General features: G+C 39.9%; 2 protein-coding genes across 4 annotated transcripts in view; both read right to left on the bottom strand.

Moving 5' to 3' along the window:
- Positions 1-18503, bottom strand: part of ST20-MTHFS (ST20-MTHFS readthrough) — a 79546-nt gene that overhangs the window by 33200 nt on the left and 27843 nt on the right. Inside the window, exon 3 of the mRNA NM_001199760.2 lies at positions 12347-12608. Coding sequence (NP_001186689.1) covers positions 12347-12608 — 262 coding nt within the window. The remainder of the gene's footprint in view (positions 1-12346; positions 12609-18503) is intronic.
- The window catches only part of MTHFS (methenyltetrahydrofolate synthetase), a 53739-nt gene that overhangs the window by 33200 nt on the left and 2036 nt on the right, over positions 1-18503 (bottom strand). For all 3 annotated transcript variants that reach the window (NR_037654.2, NM_001199758.1, NM_006441.4), the window contains exon 2: positions 12347-12608. Coding sequence is in view for 2 of the 3 variants with exons in the window: in NM_006441.4 (NP_006432.1) it covers positions 12347-12608 (262 nt within the window). In the remaining variant the exon portion in view is untranslated. The remainder of the gene's footprint in view (positions 1-12346; positions 12609-18503) is intronic.

Genomic DNA, 18503 nt, shown 5'->3' on the forward strand with positions numbered 1-18503 from the left:
GAAAAGTTCAACAACTGGCAGGGCACAATGACTCATGCCTATAATCCCAGCACTTTGGGAAGCCAAGGCAGGTGGATCACGAGGTCAAGAGATCGAGACCATCCTGGCCAACATGGTGAAACTCCATCTCTACTAAAAATACAAAAATTAGCTGGGTGTGGTGGCACGTGCCTGTAGTCCCAGCTACTCAAGAGGCTGAGGCAGGAGAATCACTTGAACCCAGGGACCAGAGGTTGCAGTGAGCTGAGATTGCACCATTGCACTCCAGCCTGGGCGACAACAGTGAAACTCCTTTTTTAAAAAAAAAAGAAAAGTACAACTACTGAAATAAAAAATGCACTACATGGATTCAACAATGGGTTTGAGATGATGGAAGAAAAAAGGCAGTGTACTTAAAGACAGATCTACAGAAATTATCCAACGTGAAAAAAGAAAAAAAAGACTGAAGAAAAATGAACACAGCCTAAGTGACTTGTGGGACAATATCAAGAATACCAATATACTATACATGGAATAAGAGTCCTAGAAGGAGAAGAGAGACAATGTGGCAGGAAAAAAATTTTTTTTGAAAAATAATGGCTGAGAACCTCCTATAGTTGATGAAAAAATTAATCTACAGACCCAAGAAGCTCAATAAATCCCATATAGGATAAAACTAAAGAAATCTACACATGCCAGGCACGGTGGCTCATGCCTGTAATCCCAGCACTTTGGGAAGCCACGGCGGGTGGATCACGAGGTCAGGAAATCAAGACCATCCTAGCCCACATGGTGAAACCCCATCTCTACTAAAAATACAAAAAAATTAGCCAAGCGTAGCAGTGCACACCTGTAGTCCTAGCTACTTGGGAGGCTGAGGCAGGAGAATTGCTTGAACCCGGGAGGCAGAGGCTGCAGTGAGCCAAGATCATGTCACTGCACTTCAGCCTGGTGACAGAGCGAGACTCTATCTCAAAAAAAAAAGAAAAGAAATCTACATTTTTACACATCAGAGTCAAACTGCTGAAAGAGAAAAATAACTTATTATAAAAAGGGAAATACAAAAATAGAATGAATGATGACTTCTCATCAGAAACAATGGAGGCCACAAGGCAGAAGAATAACATTGAACATGCTGAAAGGAAAAAAAATACATATGTCAACTAAGAATTTCATATTCAGCAAAACCCTTTCAAAAATAGAGGCAGAATAAGACATTCCTAGATAAACAAAAACTGAGAGAATTAATTACTGGCAGAGCTGTCTGAGAAAGACTAAAGAAAATCCTTTGGGCCAAAAGGAAATTACACTGGATGGTAACTTGAATTCACAGGAAAGAATGAAGAACACTGGAAACAGTAAGTAGGAAGGTAAACACAAAAGACTGGTTTTTTCTCTTTTCTTCTATTCCTTTTTAAAACATAAGAGTTCTTAAAGCAATAATTATAATACTATTTGTTAGATTTATAGTACATACAGATGTAACTTATACTGTCGTGTGAATTAGGAGGACAAGAGAGACCTCGGGGTAAACCAGGAGGATCTTTTCTGAGTGCACTCAGACCCAGCAGACTCAACATCCAAAAACTGAGCCAAGAACAAAGACAGCACTTGACGCTTATACACACTTCTAAAAGGGGATGGGCTAACTTGAGTCAAGCTTACACTGGCGCAAAGCAAAAGCAAGGATACAGAGGCAAGACAAGACGGTTAATCAAATTGTAACAGGTTCATAACTCAGGATTACACATGACCATTGCTATGCAACTCAGATGGCCATTATCTAGTTTGCCGTAGTGCCTAGCAAGGCTTATTCCATGGCCTTCACTATGGTGCCCAGGTGGCCGTATCTCAGGCCTGCTCAGTTGCTTTATGACCATCACTCCACTGCTTAGATAAAACAGAATACTAGAAGTCACTAGTTACAGGGAACAGGAATCTATAAACTCATACTGTAAAACAAAGAGAAATTTGTTTTTCTTCTCCCTATGTGGAGGGAGTGGTGGGAGAGTCTCCAGAGCACATTCTTCTGTGTCCTGGCTTCTTAGATAGTATTATCAAGACTTTTCCTGGGTTTCAGCTGTGCTTGTTGCTGCCTCTGGGACAAGTCAGCCTAGCACAGGAAAGCTTATTCCCTTTTTTTTTTTCTTTCTTTCTTTAATTTCCTGCCTCAATATGACAATAATAACATAAATGGGGAAGGAAGAATGGAATTATATAAGAGCAAAGTTGCTGTATTTTACTGGAGTCAGATGAATACTAATCTGAAACAGACTGTACTAAATAAAAGATGTAATCCCTCCAGAAACTGCAAAAACAATTTAATACATAGCTTAAAAATCAACAGAGGAACTAAAACAGCACATCAAAAAAAATTTAACACAAAAAATTTTCATTTTCATTTGTATCATGCTTTTCATTTGTATCATCCATTAGTGGAATTTTGAAATTCCACTAAATGACCAGTACTTCCCAAATTTTTCACTAAGGTAACTGCAGAGAAAGTTAAAATCCCTGGAGGGTCTGCCTGCAGGCCTGCCCACAGAGGCAAAGTTTTTGCTTTAATATTTTGTGTTTTACCTTTAAATTATTACCCTTTTTTTTTTTTTTTTTTTTTTTTGAGTCAGAGTCTCACTCTGTCCCCCAGGCTGGAGTCCAATGGTGTGATCTTGGCTCACTGCAACTTCCGCCTCCTGGGTTCAAGCAATTCTCCTGCCTCAGCCTCCTGAGTAGCTGGGATTACAGGCACCCACCAGCATGCCCAGCTAATTTTTTTCCTTAAAATTTGTGAATTTTATTTATCTTCTATATGCTACCTTTGTGATTGTATTTGTTATAAAACTAATGTGTGGTTTGTATGTTTATATGTTTGTTTTTCTGGTTTGTTTCTGCTAAAATGTTGAAGTAAAATTAATAGTTGAAGAAAATTTACCCAATAAGGCCTGTAATAGATGCATGCCTTCTTGAGAAGCAGAGGCCTAAATCAGTGGCTTTCAAACATTTTAGAAACTCAGTAAGAAAAACATCATGACCCATTTTATACACAGCACATGCATATACACACACACATGCACACATATATACACACAAAACTCTGACTAAAATCAAAATTTCTTTCCTAGCTCTTTCTTGTTTTTTAATTAATCACAGGACTTCTTACAAGTGATTCTGGTTCCCTGTGTCACTACACCCAAAGAACACTTAAATTTTTACAGTGGATTTGACTGCTTTAACCCAAAGTAATGACATGGGCAGTTAGGAAGATATTTTTTGTTTCTGTTCAATTTCCATCTCATGATTTGCTGCCTACTTCATCCAACAGTAAATTAGTTTATTCTGCTTTTGTTCTTTTTTTTCTTTTTAAGACGGAGTCTCGCTCTGTCGCCCAGGCTGGAGTGCAGTGGCATGATCTCAGCTCACTGCAAGCTCTGCCTCCTGGGTTCACACCATTCTCCTGCCTCAGCCTCCTGAGTAGCTGGGACTACAGGCACCCACCACCACGCCTGGCTAATTCTTTTTCTTTTTTTGTATTTTTTAGTAAAGACGGGGTTTCAACATGTTAGCCAGGATGGTCTCGATCTCCTGACCTTGTGATCCGCCTTCCTCAGCCTCCTGAAGTGCTGGGATTACAGGTGTGAGCCACTGCGCCCGGCCTCTGCTTGTTTATTTATGGATAATAATCAATACAATCTGGTTTTGTAGATGACGATTAACATAAAAGATAAACATTGATGGATCATGTGCTATTATATCTGCATTTCTTTGCAATACTATCAGTCATTCACTCAATATACAATTCTCAGCTGTACTTTAAAAAGGATATTTAAGTTACTGAAGAAAGAGATGGTACCTCAGATTCATCAGGGCACTGTGCTAAGCCCAAACACACCAAAAAAAAAATGTTTGAAGACTATTTATATGTTTCTCTAAAGGACCATCAGGTGAAAGTTACATGAAGCCATAAACTTAATATGGAGAGTACTTTTCTAACCTTTTATAAAGTGGGGTAAATGAAATGGGGTTCTCTATTAAATAGTGGACTCCTAATCCCTGCAAGTAGTAAAGCAAAAAAAAAAAACAAACAAAAAACTTTTAAACTACATATATAGGATATAATAAAGCAAATCCAATGACAAAAGGTATGCTGAGGTGTCAAAATACAGGGCGAAAACACAGGAGGAAGTGTTTAAATATGACTAAGAAATCTAAGAAGACTTTTGGAGGAGGCAGCATTTAAGCTGGGCATTCATTTACACACAGGTCTTTACTACCCTAGCTTGAAATTTAAGGTTCAGAGCAATAAACTAAAAAAAGAATTTATTTTTTCTAATTCCAACTTCACTCCTCTTAAAAATTCTGCCCTTCCTCTGAATTAAATGTATACACAAAAACATAGAAACCTAATAGACATTTTAATGTCTCAATTAAGGTGATAAAATAAAAATTGAATTGGAAAAGCAGTTTAAACACCTGAAGTTCTATATGTAGCGAGGTTTAAGTCACCTGGGTTAGTCCTTTTAAAGACAGTTAAGTGTTCAATAGTACATTCAATGAATCATTATGCTTGAGTAGAACATTTAGCAGGCTAGCCCATCTTGGCAAGAATAACAGGGCATAACCCCTAAGGAACTGTCTTTTAATCTTAATGGGCTGGGAGTTAACAAGAAGTAAATTACCATTCTCTGAAATGAGGATATATTCTAAAGCCGCTGCAAAAGATAAAATAGACAATTCTGGAACAGGTCCAAGGAAGCCTATCATGGGTGCACTTCTCATTCAAATGAAAGGCCCTGTTATAAATCAAAGCTGTAGCTGGTTCTTCCTGTGTATTTAGCCGAATACAAAATGACTGAAAAAAAAAAAAAAGCTTAACTTTGAGACCAGAGTACTTTTAGATACATGTGACTCAGTCCAAGTTCTTCCTTGGGAAAATATGACAATGTTCCCATGCATACAGTTACCAAGGGTACCTGTTCCATGAATAACGGTTTTAATGCAGTATGCTGTCAAGAGAGAGAAAATCTAGGTAGTAAAGCAATATTAATGAATGAAGTGTGAAGAAAAATGGCACTTCAAAGGGCACTGGAGTGGAAACCAGAACTGGGTGACCTCGCATTATCATTAACTGCCTGTGTGTCCTTGGGGAAGTGACAGCCTCCCTGGGTTGCAGTTATCCTATCTGAAAACAAAGAAGATGAAGCAAGGACAGTAAGGGTTCACTCTCCCTCCCACAGTGCCTAACTCAGGAGGCAATGTTCTCAATTGTCCAGAGAGGGAGGTCACCCAAAATGCCTACAATGGCATGTGCGATGTGCAAAAGCACATTCCAAAATTACAATTGCTTTCATTTACTTTTAGTCATAACTTATTTCAAAAGTTCAAATACAATTAGTGAGAACGATTTTTGTTAAGCTAAAGAAACACGTGTTAAAGGTTTGGAAACACTTTCAATGAGAAGATAAGCTGTAACTCATATTAAAATATCATACCATGTAGGATCTTATAACTACTTATTTCTTGGCTTAGTAAAAATTAAGCATTCTCATAGACATGCTGACAGTCACTGGTGGGACCAGTGGTGTTAGAGTCTCCACAGAATATTATTAAAAATACCCAGACTGTCAGAAAATAAATGTCTGTTATTTAAGCTGCACTGCCTGCCCCCAACAAAAAATAAAAAACAAACCCAGAGACTGGATTGAGAATACCACATTGACCCAGCAGCTGTTACAGCACTCGGGCTCAGGAACCAATCTAAGTATTACTCCATGTACTTAGCCTTACAGAAGAACACAGAAGAGGAGATATGGCAGGTTCAGCATCTTTACCTCATCCAGGGCCCAGCAGCTACCTCAGTACACTGCTTCTTTTGCCTCCTCACTCACACAGGGTGCAGCAAGAGCCAAGGGGCACATAGGTCACCTTCACACAGAGAAGCTGCAACTCCCATTTCCTGCCCATCTTTTATACAGATCTAGTTCCACAGACCCAAGGCTTCCATGCCAACTCACAGCTCCCAATTCAGGTGTAGTAGCACACAGTAACAGGCAGGTACAGGTACATCCCACATTATCACAACTCTATGGCTTCCCCAAAACTAGTGCTGAGAGAAGATAAGTTTCAAGGTTATTCCCCCAGGCAGGCCCAGCTTAGTCCGGGACCGATGTTAACTCTTTACTCACAAATATAAAAAATGTTGGTTGGGTGCAGTGGCTCACGCCTATAATCCCAGCACTCTGGGAGGCCAAGCCAGGAGGATTGCTTGAGGCCAGGAGTTCAAGATCAGCCTGGGCAACAGAGTAGACGTGTCTCTACAAAAAATTTAAAAATTAGTCAGGCATGGTAGTGTGTACCTGTAGTCCTGGCTACTCAGGAGGCTGAAGTTGGAGGATCACTTGAGCCCAGAAGTTCAAGGTTACAGTTAGCTATGATTACACCCCTGCACTCCAGTCTGGGTGAGAGAGTGAGACCTTGTCTCTAAAAACAACAAGTTACAGCGCCTTATAAAACAACTGACTCTAGTATACTTTTTAATGTGTCCCTGTGTACATGCACACAGTTTTTTAAATCCAGATTTTCTTTCATAGCTATAAAGTGTTGATAATCTATTCATTTATACAGGCACGCTTTGAATTCAAAACTGTTAGCTTCACCTCAAGAAACTTTTACTGAAAGTCTACAACATAAACCATATGACTAGGTACCAGGGATACAAATGATTTAGAAGAAGGTTTCTGCTCCGAAAGAGTCTATCAGCAAAGAAAAGGGATATACTTCCAAAAAGAATTAATAAAACGTGCTAATATACGTAAAGTGCCAAGTACATAAGAATTACGGAAGAAAAGGACTAGTACATTGTAGGCAGCCATGGAAGGTTTGGGGGAAATAATTTCTGCTTACTGTTAATAACTGCCATGTATTGATCTCTGACTACAAGGCGAACTGTACTAGGCACTTTACATATATCACCTTACTACCTTACTTTATCCTCTCAACAACACAATTAGTCAGTACTGTAATTATCTCCAATTTTCAGATGGGGAAATTTGGACTTTGAGATGTTAAGTAATTCTGCCCAAGTGGTAAAGGCCAGATTCAAACTCAGATCAGTCTGACTCCAAAGCCAGTGATCTTAAGCACCAGACTAGAAGAGACTATCCTGAAGAAACACATAATATATTCTAGACTGGAAAATGGTATAAACAAAATCACTTTCACAGCAAAGCACATAACATTACCCTATGCTTGACCACTCAACATCAGCAAAAACAACAGCAGCCACAGCAGCAACAATGGCATTTTTACTGAGCACCTACTATGTGCCAAACACTAGTCAGACATTTTCTCATTTAAACTCCATAACAGATATGTAAGGTAGGTCTGAGTCCACTTACAGGTAAGAAGACTGAAACTCTAAGAAGTTAAGTGATCTTCCCAAGGTAACACAATTAGAAAGGAGCAAAACTAGAATTCAAATCCAGGTTAGTATGATTCTCAAATCCGTATTTTCCATTACTAGGAAATACTGTCTTCCAGCAGACCACTTTGGCTGAAATAAGGAGCTGTACCAAGGAGGCACAAGTATTAAGATAGAGAGGGAGGTCAGACCCAGAAAGTGGCCTGAATGTTTGGATTTCATCCAATGTCCCTTCTTTTGACAACAACCAGCAGGAACCATTGTTTGCCCAGGTACACAGATCTATTCAGCGTACAGAGAAGGCTTGAATAGGGTAGATGACCTGTACAGAAAGGTACTTTGGGAAAATTAATATGGCCAGGAAACCAATTTAAAGTTTATTCCAATGGAACAGATATGAAGAATGAAAATTGTAGACTAAGAATTCCCCCAAAACTGGAATTAGAGAAAGACAGGTGATAAAAACATTACAAAGAAAAACCTGGTAATAAGTAGATGGTGGGAAGGAGGCAAGGATAATTCCATGTCTACAAAGTGGCTGCTAACAGAAATATGAAAAACAAAAAAGAATGATAAGAATGAATTTAGACATGCTGAAAATAAGGAACAGTGAGACATCTAAATGTTCAACAAAAGGTGAAAAAAGCTAAAAGTTCAATAAAAAGTTGAACAGGACAGCTCAAAGGAGAGAGCCCTGTGACATGCCAGCACAAACCTGCTTCTGTGAGGACAATAGGCTAGTTAACTCCAAAACACTGGGAACCAGGTCCATGCTGTTCCCTGCTATACTCCCATCACACCTTCCACAGAGCAGTGATCTACACATCTTTTCTGAATAAAGTATTATGAGCCAATCCAAATTTCTCCAGCCTCCTGAGGATATCATGACTCCATCAAATATGCCTTGATGAAATCCATACCCACTATCTTTTATTATATTCTTGCAGACGCCATGCAACCCTAACAAAGAAAGAAATGAAGTCAATGTGAGCTACTCACAGTGAACCAATCATAACCCTCCCAAAAGTACTGATCATGAACAACCTAGAAGGGTTGTTCAAAGACTCTGTCCTTGATGATGCCCCACTCAATTACTTTAAAATGTTTTATTTGAGGACTAGAAAGTCTTCGTTGTGATCATTAAGTTATGGCTCAGGTAACTACACATAGATATTAATTCCCAAAAAGCCTCCAAGAAGATCATAAGTTAAAAATCAGCACTGACAAAGCTATGACTGCAAAGAGCCTATTATATTCTGCAGAATTTCAGAAATGATTGACAGCATTGGTGAGTTTAGTTTTGACTCTCCAGTATCCATTCCCCCTTGTTCTGGAAACACAACAAACACTCTCACCCTACTCTCAGCTCAGTGGTTTGGGTAGGGCTGCCGAGCTGGGCATATGACCTAGTCTAAGTCAATCCGCACTTCTTTTCTTCCTGGTCACAAAGAATGGGTCAGGGACAGGCACGTAAGACCCAGGCCTAAGCCAGTCAGCCGATTCCATATCTCTGGCCATAGTGATTAATTTCAAGATGCCCATTTGGGTCAAGAAGAGTTAGGTCCAGGACTTTATCGGACTGTTAGAAAACAAACTTGTTCTTTATTGCTAGCAGTAAGGATGCCATGGAACCTAGAGCTGCTATGGGCCACCATGTGGCACCAGTAAATGAAACTGATATAGATGGAAGCAAAGCCAAAAGGCAGAGATAGACTGGCTCCTAATGCCACTGATCCAGCCAGCCCTTCTGTGAACTTTTCAGTCTCTGGGCCAATAAAATCTCATTTTTGCTTAAGCCCGGTTGAATCAGACTATATACTTGCATTGGAAAAATTCCTGCTCTAATCTAATTGCCCAAGCAGCCCTTACCTTGAGGATAAACTTGGGAAAGAATCCGACCCTCGATTTCATTTAGCAATCTATTTCTTTTGCTACATATATAATACAAGAATAGCCCATGGGAAATTTTTGCTTAGGAACTTATAATTGCAACTGAGGACACAAAAGCTCACTCTTTTCTAAGCTCTGATAATGTGAGCAAACAAGAAAGATAAACAGACAACAAAAGCTACACCAACGACAGCCTGAGCTCTGATCAGCTTGTCCCAAACACTGTAAAGCTAGATGTATGCTTAAGCACTGAAGTTGTCACATTTTAAGTTGCTGATGCAAGTAAAAATCCACAGTACAGAGTGTGATGTTAGGAGATAACAAACAGCTGAGGCTGCCTACTCAAACATTTCTATAAACAACAACAGCGAGCTTTGACCCCAGACTGAAGTTTCGAGAAACTGTGGGTATAATCCTCTATCCCTTTACAATCCAGATTGCAAGTATCTGCAAAGAAAAATGCATGGGGGAAAAAAGCCACTGGTACTACAAATATAGCATAAATAAATACTATAGAGGAGAAAAAAAAAATGAGCAACCAGTTGTGGGGTTTTTTTGGTGGACGTTTTTCTATTCAGAACCATATTCTAAATTTCTATGTTTTTAATATTCAGTATCTTTTCATTTGACACTTATATTTGACATATAATACAGGTTAGGATATTCTGTTTATGTTCATTTTCTGTCTCATCAGCTATAGTGTGAGTCCCTTCAAATCAGGGCCTTATCTTTCCAGACCTAAAATAGTGTCTGACACAAAGTAGATGGGTGAAAATATCTGCTGAAAATTACCGAAATGTTAACTACTTGGCTAGTAATGAGTTTATCTTATAATGAATAATTCTGACTTCCTTGCTTAAAATTAATAAATTACCATTTATTCGATAGCTCCTATGTGACAAATGACATGCTAAAAACCATACATAGGCCGGGCACGGTGGCCTGTAATCCCAGCACTTTGGGAGGCCAGGGCAGGTGGATCATCTGAGGTCAGGAGTTCGAGATCAGCCTGATCAACATGGTGAAACCCCATCTCTATTAAAAATACAAAATTAGCCAGCCACGGTGGCGCACGCCTGTAATTCTAGCTACTGAGGCAGGAGAATCACTTGAACCCAGGCGGTGGAAGTTGCAGTGAGCCGAGATAGCGCCATTGCACTCCAGCCCGGGTGACAGAGTGAAACTCTGTCTCAAAAGAAAAGAAAAAAAAACCTGCATAAATGATTGACTCACTTATTTGGATTGAGATTATCCTAACCAAGAAGTGTAAATATAAGTTAAAAGGAAAAATAATGCTTCTTCCTTACTCTTTTCACCACTGTACTTGAATAGAACCAGAACAAATGCACAAAAGTTCAAAGTAACACACTTTAGCTCAACCCAAAGAAGATGTTCTAGAAGGAGCACAGCTGTTCTAAAAGGAATGAGCTGCCTCTAGAGGAATTAGTTACTGGAGGAAACCAAGTAAAATTCCAATTAGCAGGCACATTATAGAGATGATACAAGCATTGAAGGAGCTGTTAACAGAGTCAACTGGAATTGGGACAGTATCCTGGGTTCCACCATTAAGCCTGCGAGTCTGGAGTAGCTGCATTAAGTTTGAGCAAAGTCAGTAGCTATAATTTCCTGTCTTTTCTTCTCGATAAACCTAGGCTGCTCTCCAAGATACTCTGTATTCCCTTATTATCTCATTGCCTTAAAATGCTTGCAATCTTTCCCCTTGAAAATATGAAAGAGTTTTAAAATGCTGACATTCATCTGGCCTATTGATGCAGGACATGAAGGAGGTAGATCTGAATGTATTTTTGGTGCCTAACATCTAGCAAAGCCCAAGATTGGACAATACAGGGAAAGTTAAACTAGCAAAGTACATAATCCCTCTACTGTTACGAGTCCTTGACCCTCTCCCCTCTGACTCCATCATACTGACTTTATAGGCTATGGTGTTATATTGGAAGGGGCAGAAACTGAGCGAAGACTGCATAAAGTTGTGCTAGGGCTTCTTTGCAACCACTTAAGTCTTAGTCAAAAATATACACCTCTAAGATGGGTTTCAGGCATTATACTAAAAAATAATACCCTTAGCTTGTTTTGCTTTCATCTCTTTACCTGTTTCATAATGATAAAACTTCCCAAGCAGCTGTTGGCCAGAGAACAGCATGTATTAAGACCCAGCAGTAGAGAAGGCAAAGTGGAGTTGGGAAACAGAGATACTCAGAGTGGCTGGAACTCAGACTATGAAGTGGGGAGTAGAAAGATGTGAAAATAGAAAGATAGCAGGGCCAAGATTAGGAAGAACCTCGTTAAGGAGGGTTTACTTCAATCTAAGGGCAATAGTAAGTCACAGAAAGATTTTAAGGAGGGGAGAGAAGTGGCAGATTTGTGTTTTCAAAATCTTGTTTCAATTACTTTTAAATAACCAATAAAGAGGAAGGAGAGGATGCAAGACATGGAGAGAAAGAACAGTTAAAAGGCCTTTCCAGGAATGCAGGCAAGAGGAGATGTCAGCTTAGACTGCAGTAGTAGCAGTGGGTTGGAGAGAAATGGACAGATTCAGTAAATATTCAGTAGGTAAAATCATTAGGACTTAACAATAGACCACAGGTGGGGCATAAGAGAAAGAGGGGAGTCAAGGATGACCTGGAGATTTCTGGCATGGCCAGCTGGGTAGCTGGTGGTGCCATGTACTGAGATAAACACATGGTAGGTAGTCGAAGTTGAGAAGATATAAGTGCTCATTAACATTAATAATAATATGCTCATTAGCAAGCAGACCATAACTGAAACCACAGGAAATAATTATTCAGGAAAAATATATAATTCAACCCACAAGGTAGGGCAACAATATGTGAGAAGTCAACAATATTATTCATTTACACTTTACAGTTTTCAAAAGGCATCACATCCTAAACCAGGTAATACAGGTGTCTTGGAACGTAGGCAAAATACAAATTAATCCCTTACAGGAAAAGCAACTCCCACTGACCCACACATAACCCGTGGATCTGAGATCTAACAACTGGTCATAATCTAACAACATCCTAACACCATAATACTCACCTGTGGACAAGGCCTCCTCCCGAACATCACCCTCACCAGGCTGAGGGATATTCCAGGATGTTTTGGGAAGTAAAGAAATTTCCTCTGGTGATTCTATTCTCACCATATCCATGTGATTGCTCTGGAACCGGTACCGAGGGATGAAGCAGATTTTGCCTCGTTGGAAAATGTCCTTGATGATCTCTTCTGTCTCAATTTCATCTTGCATGCTCAGAAAGATGGAAATTCTTTTGGACTTTTGATACTCACTGTGGGCAATCACCTAAATGGGAAATTATGGCAATTATATTTTCCAAGACTATATTTAGCAACTCCTCTTAACAATTCCTCCTTTCTCTCTCAGCCTTCTCCAATTTCTTTAAATATTAAAAAGAAAAAAAAAGGGGGGGGGACCAGAGTGATATAGTGGGTCAGACAGTGTTGCATCATGAAGCCTGACTTTTAGTTTGGGACCCAGCACTTACCTGCTCCTTTTATCCCTTCCTGGTACACCCACTCTGGTAGGTGTGAAAACTCATTAAAAGGTCACTGTGGAGACAAGCTGTCTATCCAGAGAATTCCAGGCTTGATCCCCACCTATCCATTTTAGTAGTCTTCGGTCATTTCACATGCTTTTCCTAGAGTATGCTTTATTTTACCTCTGTATCTTGGCTCCCACAAGCTTCTCCACTCCTTGGATTGTCAGGCTTCTCTCTCCTCCCAAATTCTACCCATTTAAAGCCCAACGCAAGCCCTAACTTTTCCTAACTTCTGCCGAACCCTTACTACATTTAGAGTTAATATATACCTTAATAATGATGTACTGTCATGAGTGGGTCACTAATTGTTTCATGTGCCCTAAATGTGGTATCCCTAACCGGTCCATGAACTGAGTTCTCTGAGGCAGAGAACATGCCTCTACCATCCCCATCCCATTTCCTAAAATCCATCTGTTCAAATGAATATTAAAATATTCACAATTATGGGGTGGGGGCAGATCCTGGTGAAAGAAACCATATTCAGTTGAATCATCCATCAGGCAGGAGAAGGTAAATGAGCTTTGCTCATCATAGAAATGTCAACAATCTCAGGAACTTATCCACACTCAGAAGTTAGCCCTTCGCTCTCTTTTTTCCTTTTTTTTTTTTTTTTTTTTTTTTTTTTGAGACAGGGTCTCCCTCTGTTGCCCAGGCTGGAGTGCAGTGGTGCAATCTGCAACCACTGCCTCAATCTGCAATCACTGCCTCTTAGGCTCAGGCAGTCCTCCTGCCTCAGCCTCCAGAGTAGCTGGGACCACAGGTGCAAACCACCATGTCCGGCTGATTTTTCGTATTTTTTGTGGAGACAGGGTTTCACCATGTTGCTCAGGCTGGTCTCAAACTCCTGAGCTCAACTGATCCACCCACCTGGACCTCCCAAAGTGCTGGGATTACAGGTGTGAGGCACTGCACCTGGCCAGCTCTCTTTTTTTCCCTTCCTTTTCTGTTCCTCCCTATTCTCCAAACTAAAAAGAAAAGAATACTTTTCTTATTCTTTATAAGACTTTTTAATACTTTTGTTATTATTATATAATTGTAAGCCATAAAAGTAGCTTATAAATATGACTGGCAGAAAGATACAGGAACAGTAAGTCAGGTTATCACTAATAAAAAAGGAAACACAGAAATTAAGTAGATAGAGCACATCAAACCAGTCTAAGGAAGAAAGTTAACTCTCACATTCTGAAAAGTTACAAAATTGTTTTGAGGCCTGAAATGGGCAAAGAAAGGAAATGTGAAACCTAGACCTGGGCAGGCCTGGGGCTTTTGGCATCCAACTACTATATGAGAAAGTTAAGTATCCTTTTTGCTCTCTTTACAGCAGAATATAGAAGATCGAGAGTTGAATAAGCAGTAATAAACATCAGTTAACACTCAATGTGAGACTGTGCATGCATATTTATCTTCCTTCCTCAAATCCCATTTATATGATGGTAAAGAAGCACAAAAAAAGAAAATCCATTAGAGTACTGAGAATAAGAGAATAGAGACCTAATTTCTGTAAGACAAAGAGTGGATGGGACAGTATTTTACTGACAAAACAGCAGCAGATCACAACACTCAGAGAATAAGGGTGCAGGTCAGGCAGAATCCACTCCTCCCTTGAAATCCCAAAGCAACCATAAAAGGCAGAGGAAATCCCCATTAGCTAAGACATCTTCATTCACAAATATGTACAGATAACAAAGGATCATCAAACATTTTGAAAAGTCAAAATACAAAATAGAAGGATGGGGAAAAAAATAAGAAGGGGAGAAAAAATGGACAAACAGGACAGATAATTTTTTGAAATTCTAATTAGTTTTCTCAGACACACTCAAGAAGATAACTGCATTTCTAAAATAACAATAGACTGCTATGGGGAGGAAGCAATCAGGGAATTATGAAATAATCAATGGAAACTAAAATTGTGATTAGCAAAATTAAAACAACTTAGGAGAAAGCCGTGGAGTAGGGGAAAAGGCAAAAATAGGAAAAATGAAAAAAATGTTAAGAAATAGAGAAGATCAATCTGTGATTTTTATTATCTGATTAACAAGAGTTCCAAAAAGGCACAAAGGAAAATAAATAATCAAAGAAGATATACTTGGCTCACACCTGTAAACCCAGCACTTAGGGAGGTGGAGGCGGGTAGATCATCTGAGGTCAGGAGTTCGAGGCCAGCCTGACCAACATGGTAAAACCCCATCTCTACTAAATATACAACAATTAGCCAGGCGTGGTGGCACATGCCTGTAGTCCCAGCTACTTGAGAGGCTGAGGCAGAAGGATCACTTGAACCCAGGAGGCAGAGGATGAGCCAAGATCATGCCATTGCACTCAAGCCTGGGCAACAAGAATGAAACTCCATCTCAAAAAAAAAAAAAAAAAAAAAAGAGAAAGAAAAAGAAAAACACGAGTCTCCATATTGAATGGGGGCCATGGGTGCTGAGCAGAACAAGGAAAATAATTTTAAATTTGAAATTCAAACTATCAATCAAGTATGAAGGTAAAACATTTCCTAATGTATATTTAAAAGTTTACCACCCCCAAAGATACTTTCTCAAAAAAAATTATCTGAAAATATACTCTAATAAGATGAAGGGAAAAGAATCCAAGAAAGACAAAGATATTAGACTCAAAAAGCAGCCCTAACTCAGAAGTGGAGTAAGGAGGAACCCCAGGGCAATGGCAGTGCAATGGGCCAGAGGCAACCAGACCAGAAGAAGCAAGGGGCTGGAGTGTTTTCAAAAAGAGAGTGGATTTATTTTAACAGACGATGAAAAAGAATCTATTGATAAGATAAACACATATTCTTGATTTGTCAAAAAAGGAAAAATAAAGGCAATCAGAAGCTCCTGGAAAAATACAGAAATTAGAAATATGCTCCAAATGGGAACAAAGTAAAAAAGAGAATGATTTTGAGCAATTATGGGGGAAAAGAGAAAAGCTTTGGTACTGACACTTGAAACATTACCTTCCTAGCTACACATATCTAGTGACATAAAGTTATGTCTTTTCTTACATATTCAATCATACAACTTGATTCTACAATGAATACCATCTACAGAACAAAAATACGGCTGGGCGTGGTGGCTCACACCTGTAATCCCGGCACTTTGGGAAGCCAAGGTGGGTGGATCATGAGGTCAAGAGGTCGAGACCATCCTGGCCAACGTGGTGAAACCCCATCTCTACTAAAAATACAAAAACTAGCTGGGCATAGTGGCGCGCACCTGTAGTCCCAGCTACTCGGGAGGCTGAGCCAGGAGAATCGCTTGAACCCGGGAGGCGGAGGTTGCAGTGAGCCGAGATTGGGCCACTGCACTCCAGCCTGGCAACAGAGCGAGACTCCATCTAAAAAAAAATTAAAAAAATAAATACAAGGTATGTATTCAGTGCTTTACATATTTTTGTAAATACTGTTTACTGTAAATACAATTTACTGAAATCTCAAGTTTGGAAATCGGTCACAAATACTGCTCAGTAGACTCATTATAGTTACAGAACAAAGTTTAAATATTACAAAACCTGGCCAGGCGTGGTGGCTCATGCCTGTAATCCCAGCACTTTGGCAGGCCGAGGCAGGTGGATCATGAGGTCAGGAGTTCAACATCAGCCGGGCCAAGATGATGAAACCCTGTCTCTACAAAAAATACAAAAATTAGTCAGGCGTGGCGGCAGGCGCCTGTAATCCCAGCTACTTGGGAGGCTGAGGCACAGAACTCCTTGAACCCGGGAGGCGAAGGTTGCAGTGAGCCAAGATTGCGCCACTGCACTCCAGCCTGGGCAACAAAGCGATACTTTGTCTCAAAAAATGAAAAACTGGCTAGGCGCGGTGGCTCACGCCTGTAATCCCAGTACTTTGGGAGGCCGAGGCAGGCGGATCACGAGGTCAGGAGATCGAGACCATCCTGGCTAACACGGTGAAACCCCATCTCTACTAAAAATACAAAAAATTAGTCGGGCGTGGTGGCGGGCGCCTGTAGTCCCAGCTACTTGTGAAGCTGAGACAGGAGAATGGCATGAACCCGGGAAGCAGAGCTTGCAGTAAGCCGAGATCACGCCACTGCATAACAGCCTGGGCAACAGAGCGAGACTCCCTCTCAAAAAAAAAAAAAAAAGGAAAAAGAAAAAGAAAAATTACAAAACTTGACAACATAAATATAACAATATAAATGTCAGAAACTGACAGAGGGAGTAGAAAACACAGTGAGTAAAGGGGCACTAATTTCCTCATCTTAGGGAATCAAGATATGACATAAACCTGAATTTCTTTACCATTTAAATTACTTCTCTGATAAATTTCTAAGTTATAAAAAGGTACAGTGCCAATAAGAATAAATACGCTTTTCTAAATGAAAGACATCATTTAACACCTTTATTGAGCATTCACTATGGCAAAACACTACACAGTACACTGATGTTTCCAGTGATGATCCATTGGTTAGTCATGAAATCAATAGTGGGCTACAATTTTTAAATGAAATAGAATAGAAAATATTAAAGTTCGAGCCAGGCACAGTGGCTCACGCCTGTAATCCCAGCACTTTGGGAGGCAGAGGCGGGAAGATCACGAGGTCGAGTTCGAGACCACCCTGGCCAACATGGTGAAACCCCGTCTCTACTAAAAATAGAAAAATTAGCTGAGCATGGCGGCACGTGCCTGTAATCCCAGCTACTTGGGAGGCTGAGGCAGGAGAATCGCTTGAACGTGGGAGGCAGAGGTTGCAGTGAGCCGAGATCATGCCACCGCACTCCAGCCTGGGCGACAGAGCAAGACTCTGTCTTGAAAAAAAAAGAAAATATTAAATTTCATTGTATGTGCTTAAGAGCTGTAAAATGTTCCTTGTATGTGTATATTTGTTTGTACAGAGTAAAATGTATTTATTACTGAGGGTCATGGGTCTGCTTTTTAATTTTTCTCTCTCCTCCTTTAATGCCAGCTCTCAGTCGTCATTCTATTGCTGTCAGTGACTCTGTATCTATGTAAACTATTTCCATCTATAGTTTATGAATTCTAATCTTCTACGGAGAAAGACAACGTAGAAGATTAGAAACTGAATTCATCTTTATTTTCCCCATGCCCCTCCAAAATTTGTTCCAATTCCTACCTTCTTTATGCCTAAGGCTAAACACCATTATACCAAGCTCTAAATTTTGGAATCACTGGTGACTCTCCTCCCCTTCCAGTATTCTCTAACCTCTTCCAATCAGTTGCCAAGTCCTGCTGTTTCTCACTTAACAGTCTCCCATTTGCCTCCTTTCCCCTCATCTTCACTGCCCATGCTCTGGTTTGCATATTTTTCATCTTTCACTTGAATTGGCACAACAGCCCCTTACTGGTCTCCATATTTTTTTTCTTTCTTCCTTCCTCAACCCATTATCCAAATGCTGCCATTATACTCTTCCTAAAGGACATAACAAACAATAGGTAAAGCTCTGAATACATCCCTTTACACACTTCTTTAACTCTCACAATCGACCTACAAGAGTGATATTATCCATTTTATAGACAAGGAACCAAAGGTTCTGAGAGATTATGAGACCTGTCCAAGGATATACAGTTAAAAAACAATGGCGCCAGATTCAGCCCAGATCTGTGCAGTTCCAAAGCCCATGCTAAACTGTATCCTGTCATCTCTTGCCTAAATATCCCT

This window comes from Homo sapiens, chromosome 15 (genome assembly GCF_000001405.40).
Source record: "Homo sapiens chromosome 15, GRCh38.p14 Primary Assembly".
Lineage (NCBI taxonomy): Eukaryota > Metazoa > Chordata > Mammalia > Primates > Hominidae > Homo > Homo sapiens.